General features: G+C 45.7%; 1 pseudogene, besides 1 other annotated feature; it reads left to right on the top strand.

Annotated features, from left to right (window-relative positions):
* The first annotated feature begins 4,209 nt into the window (after positions 1–4,209).
* On the top strand, positions 4,210–12,466 carry LOC124902529 (protein GVQW1-like; annotated as a pseudogene).
* Positions 7,319–7,499: a silencer, noted in NCBI's record as "fragment chr10:37749225-37749405 (GRCh37/hg19 assembly coordinates)". NCBI's record gives its function as "represses an EF-1alpha promoter that drives an FKBP-Casp9 reporter gene in an ReSE screen in K562 erythroleukemia cells {active_cell/tissue: K562}" and the evidence as "EXISTENCE:reporter gene assay evidence [ECO:0000049][PMID:32094911]".
* Positions 12,467–13,119: the final 653 nt, after the last annotated feature.

The following is a 13,119-nucleotide window of genomic DNA, read 5'->3' as shown; positions in this document are numbered from 1 at the left end:
AGCCTGGGTGACAGAGCAAGACTCCATCTCAAAAAAAAAAAAAAAAAGAAACAGAGTCTGTTCCCTAGGCTAGAGTTCAGCGGAATGATTACTGCAGCCTCAAACTGTTGGTCTCAAGTGATCCTCCTGCCTCAGCCTCCCAAGTAGCTGGGACTATAGGCATATGCGATTGCACCTGGCTAATTTCTTTATTTTTGTAGAGATGAAGTCTTGCTATGTTGCCCAGGCTGATCTCAAACTCCTGGCATCAAAAATCCTCCTTCCTCGACCACCCAAAGCGTTGGGATTACAGGGATGAGCCAATGCATCTGGCCCAGCTGTTGTTATCTTTATTATGAAACCACAAAGTCACAGGGTAGGGGCATCAGGATGGCTACAGCAGGGAATTTAGGCCTCCAAGGACAGTTAGGAATTTTACAAGAACCCTGTGGTGAAGGAGGAGGGCTTGGGGAAGCAGCCACCCACGGCAGCCATTTATTGAGCACTTAGGATGTTCCAGGCGTGGTGCATCTTCTCTTTCACCTCCTGCCAGCAAAGCTTTTAGGGAGTTTTTCTTGTGGCTGCAGTCACCTCCAGGTTAATAAGGACCAGTGCTTGGAGAGGCAAAGGAACTCATTTGCACCATGACATCCCTTCAACGGCCTCCCCTCAGGTTCTGGGCCTGAAAAATACGAGTGGCTTTCATAAGCACGATGTTTATCAGTAACTTCCATGTTAAGAACAGCACTTTGGGAGGCTGAGGGAGCTGGATTGCTTGAGTCCAGGAGTTTGAGACCAGCCTGGGCAACATGGTGAAACCCTGTCTCTAAAAAAATATATATGCAAAAAAATTAGCTGGGGATGGTGGTGAGCACCTGTGGTCCCAGCTGCTAGGGAGACTGAGTTGGGAGGATCACTTGAGCCCAGGAGTTTGAGGCTGCAGTGAGCCATGATTGCACCACTGCAATCCAGCTTGGATGATAGAGCAAGACCCTATCTCAAAAAACAAAAGCAAAACCAAAAAAAGAAACAAAGAAGCAAAAACAAAAACACACCCACCACCAACAGCCTTCACGTACCACAAGAGAAGCTGAAAATGTGAGCCCTGCAAGATCATCCTTGTCTCATTTTGACTCCCCAAGAAATCCCAACTTCTCTCTCTCTCTTTTTTTTTTTTTGAGAGAGAGTCTCATTCTGTCACCAGGCTGGAGTCCAGTGGTGTGATCTCGGCTCACTGCACCTTCGCATCCTGGGTTCAAGCGACTATCATGCGTCAGCCTCCCGAGTAGCTGGGATTACAGGCACATGCCACCACACCCAGCTAATTTTTCTATTTTTAGTAGAGACCGTGTTTCAACATGTTGGTCAGGATGGTCTCGATCTCCTGACCTTGTGATCCGCCCACCTCAGCCTCCCAAACTGCTGGAATTACATGCATGAGCCACTGCGCCTGGCCAAAATCCCAACTTCTTAGAGCAATTAGGCAACATCTCCCGTGAAGGGGCATCAATTGTCCTCTTCTTGACTAGAACATTCTCTGCACACTGCCACTCTTATCTCATGAGTTCCTGGATCCATTTCCATACCCAAAGCAGTGAAAGCTATGAAGAGGGCATAGTGGGCTAACCTGGGTGCCCTAGGAGGGAAATTGACACTGGCATTTCTATTGTTTGTGAAAATTGATGTCTGCTCTTACTGATGAAGACAATTCAGAAAGAAAGGAGTTTCCATTGCACAGGAGATTTTTGGGGGACTAGCATCAATTATTGCTATCCTAAGAGGCAATGCAAAATCTCTTAGGGTGGGGTAAGGTGGCTCACACCTGTAATCCCAGCACTTTGGGAGGCCATGGCAGGCAGATAACAAGGTCAGGAGTTCGAGACCAGCCTGGTCAACATGGTGAAAGCCCTATTCTACTAAAAATACAAAATTAACTAGGCTTGGTTGGCACACGCCTGTAATCCCAGCAACTCAAGAGGCTGAGGCAGGAGAATCACTTCAACCCAGGATGCGGAGGTTGCAGTGAGCCAAGATCATGCCACTGCACTACAGCCTGGGTGATAGAGTGAGACTCCGTCTCAAACAAAACAAAAACAAAAACAAAAAACTGGGTAAATGCTGAGTACTGGAGAGGAGGAAAGGGGTGCCTGCTGCTGCCTGTGGGTGTTTACCATGACTTTTATTACTATTTTCTGAGATGGAGTCTGGCTCTGTCACCCAGGCTGGAGTGTAGTGGCATGATCTTTGCTCACTGCAACTTCTGCCTCCTGGATTCAAATGGTTCTCCTGCCTCAGCCTCCCAAGGAGCTAGAATCACAGACACCCACCACCACGCCTAGCTAATTTTTGTAGTTTTAGTAGAAATGGGGTTTCACCACACTGGCCAGGCTTGTCTTGAACTCCTGACCTAAAGTGATCCACCCGCCTTGGCCTCCCAAAGTGCTGGGAATACAGCCATGAGCCACTGCATCCGGCCTATGACTTTTAAGCAAGCCCGGCTGGAAAATTCGGTCAAGCAAAGTTGAATGGGGTTCGGGTGGAGTGACGGGCAAGACCATCTGAGGGTGGAGGAAAAGTTCCATCATCTATAGGGAAGTGGAAGCACCAGCCTCAGCTTCTCCCAGGAGGTTTAATGTCAGCAAGAAAGCATTAATCTAGCTGATCACAGAAGACAATGGGGATAAAGGCAGTGAAGCAGCCAATTATTGAGGACTAAATGTATCAACAACTGATTGAAGACCAAAAAAGTCCAGAAGGCAGAAATCCTAGTTTTGGGGTCTCACACAGGACATCTGGTTTACCTAAGTGGGCAAATATTTATTGAACATCTACTAAGGACCCAGAACATGGGGTATTAGGAAGAACCTGTTGGCTGTAAACACTGCAATTCACTGAAACATTTTCACCCTGGGACAGGGGTGGAATCTACTTCACTGAGTAAAACGACTCATCTGAGAAAGCTAAACTAAAGTTCTGCTTAGAGGCACAGAGCTGTCATCTGTAGTCAAGTTTTCCCAAAGTCCAAGGCTTTGTTTTGAGGGTGGAGGTTGCAAAACTACAGATTCTGAAATGATTTTTTTTTTTTTTTTGAGACAGAGTCTCCCTCTGTCACCCAGGCTGGAGTGCAGAGTGCAGTGGCACAATCTCCGCTCACTGCAACCTCCGTCTCCTGGGTTCAAGCAATTCTCCTGCCTCAGCCTCCCAGGTAGCTGGGATTACAGGTGTGTGCCACCATGCCCTCCGAATTTTTGTATCTTTAGTAGAGACAGGGTTTCACCATGTTGGCCAGGCTGGTCTAGAACCCCTGACCTCAAGTGATCCACCTGCCTCAGCCTCCCAAAGTGCTAGGATTACAGGCATGAGCCACTGCACCTGGCCAGAAGTGATTCAAATTTTGACAAAAATATATTATTTCGCTCTACATGGATATAAGACTATCCTTCTCATGGTTTCATTTTGTCTTTTCATAGTTTCCAGTTTTGTTCATTGCCGTGGTTGCAAAGAAAACATCTTTAAATTCTTGAGAATCAAATTAAAGTCAAGTCAGGAAACTTTTTCCTACTTAATATTATAAGAACATGTATCAGGGGAATCCCCTGGCATTCAATCAGAATTTACCCTCACAAACTGGAGAATTTTCTCAAGGCGGATTACTATGTCCTAGACAAGGAAACTGCTACCTCTTGCATGATGTTTTCCTTTTTTTTTTTTTTTTTTTTTTTGAGATGGAGTCTCGCTCTTGTCTTTCAGGCTGGAGTGCAATGGTGCGACCTCAGCTCACTGCAACCTCTGCCTCTCAGGTTCAAGCGATTCTCCAGCCTCAGCCTCCCAAGTAGCTGGAATTACAGGTATGTACCACCACGCCCAGCTAATTTTTGTATTTTTAGTAGAGACAGGGTTTCACTGTATTGGCCAGGCTGGCAACTCCTGACCCCTGGTGATCCACCCACCTTGGCCTCCCAAAGTGTTGGGATTACAGGCATAAACCACCGCGCCTGGCTGATTTTTTTCCTTTTTAATGAGAAATTCTCATTCTTAGATGCATCTTACAAAAACTACAATTGGTTTTGCAGGCGTAAGTGCACTGAAAGTTCTGTGTGTAATACTAACAGAAGCCCTTTTTTTTTCAGTTGTAAAGGTCACATCAACAATGCACTCAGTTCACTTGAGATTCTTTCTTTCTTTTTTCTTTTCTTTTTTTTTTTTTTTGAGATGGGATCTCCCTCTGTCACCCAGGCTGGAGTGCAGTGGCACAATCTCAGCTCACTGCAACCTCCACCTCCTGAGTTCAAGTGATTCTCCTGCCTCAGCCTCCTGAATAGCTGGGATTACAGGCATGCACCACCAAGTCTGGCTAATTTTTTTATATTTTTAGTAGACAGGGTTTCTCCGTGTTGGTCAGGCTGGTCTCAAACTCCCAACCTCAGATTATCCACCCGACTCGGCCTCCCAAAGTGCTGAGATTATAGGTATAAACCACTGTACCAGGCCACTTGAGATTATTTCTATTGGCAAAATACTCTGTGTTAAATATAATTAATGGAGAAAGATCATTTACTAAAGAAAAATTGGATTTAAATATTTGACCTCTCAAGATTACTCTATCTAATTACCTGATAGAATCATCAGCAGGCATTTGAATGAAGAGGAGGGCAAAATAAGGTATAATCCCTGCCCTCAAGATCTAAATTCTGTGCTTGGGACCCAAACTATTCAAATAAATACAGTAAAATAGCACATGACCTAATCAAACCTTGAATTAGTCTTCATAATAAAACAAGCAGGAGGCGGCTGGGTGCGGTGGCTCATGTCTATAATCCCAGCACTTTGGGAGGCCGAGGCAGGTGGATCATGAGGTGAGGTATTAAAGACCAGCCTGACCAACATGGTGAAACCCCATCTCTACTAAAAATACAAAAGTTAGCCAGGTGTGGTGGTGTGTGCCTATAATCCCAGCTACTTGGGAGGCTGAGGCAGGAGAATTGCTTGAACTCGGGAAGCAGAAGTTGCAGTGAGCCGAGGTTGCGCCACTGCACTCTAGCCTGAGTGACAGAGCGAGACTCTGTCTCGAAAAAAACCAAACTAAACTAAAACAAACACAAGCAAGAGGCTTATTTGGCCTAAAATTATGATTGATTTGATCCTTAAAGCAGTTTGACCAAATGGCTCTATTGGCCATTTTGTTTGGTTGTCTTTCATTCATTTATCTACTCAACAATTATTGGGCACCTATGATGGGCTAGGCACCATGCTAAGTGTTGGAGATTTCACAGGAAACAAGTAATCCCAAGGGCTTGTTTCCAGGGGTGGGTTTAGCCAGGCTTCTTTGTCATGAGGTTGGGGGTGATTATGGAAATGCCTAGAACACTGTTGGAATAGCTTCTCCTCTCCACTCCTGAGGGTCAGCTATGGATCTGAAAGATGCCCAGTTGTCTGAGATGAAACTGAGGTGAGATGGTTTCCTTTCTTACCAGCTTCCTCCAGCCTTCTTACACAGAAGCTCTTCATGCTGCAAATAACTGGTTCCATGTCAACCTTTCCAAAGCTCTTAGCGTCCTCCTGGGGTTTCCACTCAATGCAAACCCTCTCTGAAATCCAAGTGCCACTTAAAGGAAGTCTGATGCAGACTACATTTAAGATGCTACAGATTTGGGCTTTTCAAATAGGAAATATGCACTGTTCCTTCAGAAGTGCAGAAATGTCTGGAAGGAGGTGTCAGCAGTGGGGGGCACATTCTTCCTGGTGCCCACAGTCCTTCAGTATGTTAGTCCTCTCAGTCCTTCAGTATGTTAGCACAGACGCATTCACGGACAGTGAAAAACATGTTCTGCTTGGAGACTTTGGAGTTAAATCACAGTAAATTCCTTAGCCGGCCTCTCTTATGCTTCCTCACATAGGGGCTTTCATTTGAAGCTCTAAGTTTCATATTATCAATTCCTTACAGCTAATAAGAGACACCTACTGTATAAAATAAGTGTATGCTAAGAGGTTGAAAGATACAGAGCCCCTGATTAAGATTGGGGAGGCTGATGGGAAAATAAAGTGAAATTTTGATAGGTTCCATAATATGAGTGTATGCCAAGCTCAATGGGAATGCATGGGAGAAGTGATTACCGCTTTTATTTTTATTTTTTTTGAGACGGGGTCTCATTCTGTCACCCAGGCTGGGGTGCAGTGGCACAATCATAGCTCACTGCAGCCTCAACTTCTTGGGCTCTGGCTGGGTACGGTGGCTCACGCCTGTAATCCCAACCCTTTGGGAGGCTGAGGAGGGAGGATCACCAGGTCAGGAGATGGAGACCATCCCGGCTAACACAGTGAAACCCCATCTCTACTAAAAATACAAAAAATTAGCCAGGCGTGGTGGCGGGTGCCTGTAGTCCCGGCTACTCTGGAGGCTGAGGCAGGAGAATGGTGTGAACCCGGGAGGCAGAGCTTGCAGTGAGCCAAGATCATGCCACTGCACTCCAGCCTGGGTGACAGAGCAAGACTCCATCTCAAAAAACAAAACAAAACAAAAAGACTTCTTGGGCTCCAGCAATCCTCCCACCTCAGCCTCAATAGCTGTGACCACAGGTGCACACTGCCATGCCCAGCTAATTTTTTTTTTTTTTTTTTGAGTCGGAGTTTCACTCTTGTTGCCCAGGCTGGAGTGCAATGGCACGATCTCGGCCCTCTGCAACCTCTGCCTCCCAGTTTCAAATGATTCTCCTGCCTCAGCCTTCCGAGTAGCTGGGATTACAGGCATGTGCCACCACACCCAGCTAATTTTTTGTATTTTTAGTAGAGACAGGGTTTCTCCATGTTGGTCAGGCTGGTCCCGACCTCCCGACCTCAGGTGATCTGTCCACCTCAGCCTCCCAAAGTGCTGGGATTACAAGCGTGAGCCACCGCGCCCGGCCCCAGCTAATGTTTATTTTTATTTTTTGGTAGCAATATGGTCTTGCTATGTTGCCAGGGCTGGTCTTAAACTCCTGGCCTTAAGACATCCTTCCCACCTCAGCCTTTCAAGGTGTTGAGATTAAAGGCATGAGCCACTGCGCCTGGCCGTGACGACCTCCTGAAAGGGGCTTCATAGATACCTGAGAACTCTGTAGCTGCAGGGTTGGAATTGCAACATTCCAGGGAGTGGGGACAAGTGGAAGAAAGAACAGATGAGAGCAGTGGCTCACACCTGCAATCCCAGAACTTTGGGAGGCTGAGGCGGGCAGATCACCTGAGGTCGGGAGGTCGAGATCAGCCTGACCAACATGGAGAAACCCTGTCTCTACTAACAATACAAAATTAGCCGGGCGTGGTGGTGTGCGCCTATCAACCCAGCTACTCGGGATGCTGAGGCAGGAGAATCGCTTGAAGTCGAGAGGCGGAGGTGACGGTTAGCTGAGATCAAGCCATTGCACTCCAGTCCGGGCAACAAGAATGAAATTCCATTTCAAAAAACAAAACAAAACAAAAAAAAAACTTGGCTGGGGTCAGTGACTCACACCTGCAATCCCAGCACTTTGGTAGGCCAAGGCGGGCAGATCACTTCAGGTCAGGAGTTCAAGACCAGCTTGGCCCACATAGTAAAACCCCGTCTCTACTAAAAATACAAAAATTAGCCGGGTGTGGTGGCGGGTGCCTGTAATTCCAGCTATTTGGGAGGCTGAGGCAGGAGAATCACTTAAACCCAGGAGGTGGGGATTGCAGTGAGCTGAGAACATTGCTTATTGTTTACTGATGGTCTGGTCAGTCCTATGCTAATGAAGGTAGCAGAAAGGGGAATTTGATGTTAAAGGGCAGAAGAAATGGTATGGTAAAACTGTGCTTTAAAGTCCCTACTAGTCCACAACTTTGGATGGACCAAGAGATAGTCTCTTGTTAGTGTAATGATACGTAACAGATTTCTCTGTGTTTTATCTATTTTTTGCTTTGTTACACATTGTGCATTTCCAAAAAGGATTTAAGGTACTTTAAAATAAAAGCTGAGGCATCAGAAACTATGGAGAAAAAGGCAGTCATAATTATGCCAAGAACCAGGGGTGGGAAAAGATTTTTATTGAACACTACATTTAGCTTATTTTGAGCATCATAGGGACTAAGGGAAAAAAATGTGATGACTCTCTTTTCAGATAATAGCTTTTTCACGCTAAAATTCTAAAAGGAATTTATTATTAAATCAAAATGAGTGAAAACACATTTCCTTATATAGCTGTTTCTTGTTTGGGCCTTTGATAAAAACCAAGCAGGGAGACTAATGACTTGCGGCTGAGCCAGGGTGACTCTTTTTTTTTTTTGAGACGGAGTTTCATTCTTGTTGCTCAGGCAACAATGGTGAGATCTCGGCTCACCACAACCTCCGCCTCCAGGGTTGAAGCGATTCTCCTACCTCAGCTTCCGAGTAGCTGGGATTACAGGCACCCGACACCACACCCAGCTAAATTTTGTATTTTTAATAGAGACGGGGTTTCACCATGTTGGTCAGGCTGGTCTCAAATTCCCGACCTCAGGTGATCTGCCCACCTTGGCCTCCCAAAGTGCTGGGATTATAGGCGTGAGGCACCGCGCCCGAGCAGGGTTGATTCTACAGGTCTGAATGTATTCATATCTGTTGACCAATCTTCATGTAAGGGTAGGACTCAGAAGATCTAGACCAGGGCCTCTCCAAGTGTTCCCTGAGCCTCTGCATCAGATTCAGCTGCATTATTATAAAATATGGATTCTAGAGCCAACCCAGACCTTTTGGATCAGAATATTGGGAGGAGAGGACATAAATCTGTATTTTTGAAACTTGGTGATTTTGATGCCCACTAAACTTCAAGACATCATGATGTAGAAAAGAATAACTGTGTATGGCCCCATATGCATTTTTTGTGTTTTTATTGTGGTTTTTTTTGAGATGGTATCTTGCTCTGTTACCCAGGCTAGAGTGCAGTGGCGTAATATCAGCTCTACCTCCCAGGTTCAAGTGATTCTCCTGCCTCAACCTCCCGAGTAGCTGAGACTATAGGTGTGTGCCACCATGCCTGGCTAACTTTTTTGTATTTTTAGTAGAGATAGGGTTTCACCATGTTAGACAGGATGGTCTCAATCTCCTGACCTCATGATCGGCCCGTCTCATCCTCCCAAAGTGATGAGATTACAGTTGTGAGCCACCGCACCCAGCCGACATTTTCTTTTTTATTGTCTGCACTGCCAGATAGAGTTCCCTATGCTTTAGATACCTGAAGCTAGCTACAGGAATTGACAGACTGTTGTAAAATTAAGGGGTCTCACACAGACTCTCTTTTTCTTTTTTTTTTTTTTTGTTTTGAGACAGAGTCTTGCTCTGTGCCAGGCTGCAGTGCAGTGGCACAATCTCGGCTCACTGCAACCTCCGCCTCCTTTGTTCAAGCTATTCTCCTTCCTCAGCCTCCGGAGTAGCTGGAACTACAGTCGTGTGCTACCACGCCCCGCTAATTTTTGTATTCTTAGTACAGACAGAGTTTCATCATGTTAGCCAGGATGATCTCGATCTCTTAACCTCGTGATCTGCCCACCTTGGCCTCCCAAAGTACTGGGATTATAGGTGTGAGCCACCACACACAGCCTCTTGTTTTTGTTTTGAGACAGAATTTCACTCTGCCACCCAGGCTGGAGTGCAATGGCATGATCTTGGCTCACTGCTACCTCTGCCTTCTGGGTTCAAGTGATTCTCCTGCCTCAGCCACCCGAGTAGCTGGGATTACAGGCATGCATCACCATGCCCAGCTAATTTTTGTATTTTTAGTAGAGACAGGTTTCACCATGTTGGCCAGGCTGGTCTTGAACTCCTGACCTCAGATGATCTGCCTGACTTGGCCTCCCAAAGTGTTGGGATTACAGGCATGAACCACTGGACCAGGCCCAGACTCTCTTTTTCAAAGAAAGGCCACCATTCCCAAAGTTGCAGGATCCAAATTTTTCTAAACAACGAATTATGAGCCTGCCTCAATGAGCATCAAATTACAGTCAAATGTCATGCACCATACAGTATACAAGAGAGCCTGGGCAACACAGTGAGACCTTGTCTCTGTCAAAAGGAAAAATTTAAAAATTAACCAGGCATGGCAGCATGTGTCTGGAGTCCAAGCAACTCAGGAGGATTGCTTGAGCCCAGGAGTTCAAGGCTGCTGTGAGCTAGGTCGTGCCACTGCATTCCAGCCTGGGTTACAAAGCAAGACCCTGTCTCAATTAAAAAAAAAAAAAAAAAAAGGGCTGGGTGCAGCGGCTCACGCCTGTAATCCCAGCACGTTGGGAGGCCTAGGCAGGCGGATCACGAGGTCTGGAGATCGAGACCATCCTGGCTAACGTGGTGAAACCCTGTCTTTACTAAAAATACGAAAAAAATTAGCCAGTCGTGGTGGCGGGCACCGGTAGTCTCGGCTATTTGGGAGGCTGAGGCAGGAAAATGGCATGAACCCAGGAGGCAGAGCTTGCAGTGAGCCGAGATCATGCCACTGCACTCCAGCCTGGGCGACAGAGCAAGACTCTGTCTCAAAAAAAAGTAGGCTTAAATTTCAAGACATATTAGCCATTGGCCACCATGATCAATAATGATTTCATACAGCTCCTAACACATATGTAATATTGAGAAGCAATGCCTCTAGTCATGTCTGTTATAATAAACAGGTGAGATGGGTGTGATCCCTAAATACCATCTTTAAAGAACATTCTATTGTAAAATAAACCCCTAAGACTTTCTCAGTGAACGAACTGATTGGTAAACAGAAATACTTTTTTTTTGAGATGGAGTCTCTGCTCTGTCACCCAGGCTGAAGTGCAGTAGCACAACCTTGGCTCACTGCAACCTCCCTCTCCAGGGTTCAGGTGATTCTCCTGCCTCAGCCTCCCAAGTAGTTGGAATTACACCACCACCATGCTTGGCCTCCCAAAGAGCTGGGATTACAGGCATAAGCCATCCTGTCTGGCTGATAAACAGGAGTACTATGAACCAGTTGTTACACTATTGGTAGCTTGAAATCTGCTACATGTATTTATACCATGAATATCAACAAATGCTACAAATGTCAGCTATTTTTTCCCAGAGAGACCTGGTTGACCAGTATACTGTTACTAGAGACACCACAGTTTCCATCCAGGTACTGCTGCTTGCTGCACAGAAAGCCATTCACTGAGATTTCAACTATTGCCAAGGAAGAAGGCTTTAATAGGGTGCTGCAACCAAGCACATGGGTGCTCAGTCTCAAATCCATCTCCCTGACTAAAACCAGGCTTTAATATAGCAGGGAAGAAATGTAACAATGTGTAAGAAAACAGGAACTAGGGAAAGGCACAGAGGCATCTGCTACCCTGAACCCATGAGTTTCAGTTCTTTGATACTTTTTTTTTTTTTTTGAGACGGAGTCTCCGCTCTGTTGCCTACGCTGGAGTGCAATGGCGCAATCTCGGCTCTGCTCACTGTAACCTCCGCCTCCTGGGTTCAAGCAATTCTCCTGCCTCAGCCTCCTGAGTAGCTGGGATTATAGGCGCACACTACCATGCCAAGCTAATTTTTGTATTTTTAGTAGAGATGGAGTTTCTCCATGTTGGTCAGGCTGGTCTCGAACTCCTAACCTCGTGATCTGCCCACCTCAGCCTCCCAAAGTGCTAGGATTACAGGCATGAGCCACCGGGCCTGGCTGATACCTGTTTTTAGAGGACTGAAGGTCCTTTCCTGAGGAAGGAACTCAGATAAAAAAAATACAAGTTTCAAGCTTTAATAACAGAAGGGTCCATTTCAATGTTTATCCAAAAACAACTGTTTCTGGGACTCTTGGACTGGTTTCAGTACCACAGGTGCATACTGAAGAATGATCCTGAAACCCTTGACAAGGAGAATCACACACCCTTCCCACATGGACACTATCTCCTGTTTTCTGCTCAGTGCCAACTTTGGTAATGGTCTATGTGGAAAGTTGAGCTTCCCCAGGTAGTCAGGAGTATCATAATGCTATGTAGCCAGGTTTAATGTGGTTGACATATAGGAGTTGTTTTTTAAAAAAAACAAAACCCTTCAGTTGATATATTTTTTCCATTAAGAACAATGCTTTTGTCCAGGCGCGGTGGCTCACGGCCATAATCCCAGCACTTTGAGAGGCCAAGGAGGATGGATTACTTGAGGTCAGGAGTTCAAGACCAGCCTGGCCAATATGGTGAAACCCCATCTCTACTAAAAATACAAAAAAAATTAGCCACGCGTGGTGGTACACACGTATAATCTCAGCTACTTGGGAGGGCAGGAGGAGAGTCACTTGAACCTCAGAGGCAAAGGTTGCAGTGAGCCAAGACCCCACCACCGCACTCCAGTCTAGGTAACAGAGACTCCATCTCAAACAAATAAACAAAAATAAATAAATAAATGCAAACAACTGGAAGAATGCACTCATTGATTCCAGTTTCTGTCAAGGTGGGAATGGCTGATACCAGATCTTTTCCTGAAGACTGGTTTGGAGAGGAAGAAGGAAGGGATAAAGAACAGGAGCGTTGAGGCCTGAAGAAAGCAAGGAGAAAAATGGGCAGCAGGAAATAAGACAGCTGCAGAGTCGAGAGGCCGGTATATGAGTAAAATGTGGCTGACGGCCTCATTAAGCCCAGACCCTATCCAATTAAGAAACTTGTCTTTAGAGCACAAAAGGAGAAATCAATGCTAATACACACCACAGCTTTCTGTTTTACACCAGCATATCCTGGGGCACAGAGCTCTTGCTACATTCTCTCCTGGAACTGAAAACCAATTCTAGGTTACTCTGTACACACTGATCTAGTTGTTAGTGCTGTAAAAACACCAGTTTATATCAAAACCAGAAAAATGTATCAGATAAAAGACAAGATTAGACTAGTGCCTATTGTTGGCAAGTATCTGAGGAAAGAGCATTAAAGGTGCTGCGTGCTTTTTCCGAGTAGTCCCAGCTACTCAGAAGCCTGAGCCAGGAGAATTGCTTGAACTTGGGAGGCTGAGGTTGCAGTGAGTCCAGATCGCACCACTGTACTCCAGCCTGGACAACAGAGCAAGGCTTCACAAAGAAAAGAGCATGAAAGAGTTAAATCTCAAACTCCAAAACTGCTAGATGACAAAGAGGGAGAGGGAGGCAGAACCTAACGGTATGCCAAAAGTAGAAACTATGAACTCTAAAGAAATGA

The sequence above is a fragment of the Homo sapiens genome, chromosome 10 (genome assembly GCF_000001405.40).
Source record: "Homo sapiens chromosome 10, GRCh38.p14 Primary Assembly".
In the NCBI taxonomy this organism is placed as follows: domain Eukaryota; kingdom Metazoa; phylum Chordata; class Mammalia; order Primates; family Hominidae; genus Homo; species Homo sapiens.
The sequence above is the reverse complement of the archived record's forward strand: the minus strand, read 5'-3'. Positions and strand labels throughout refer to the sequence as shown.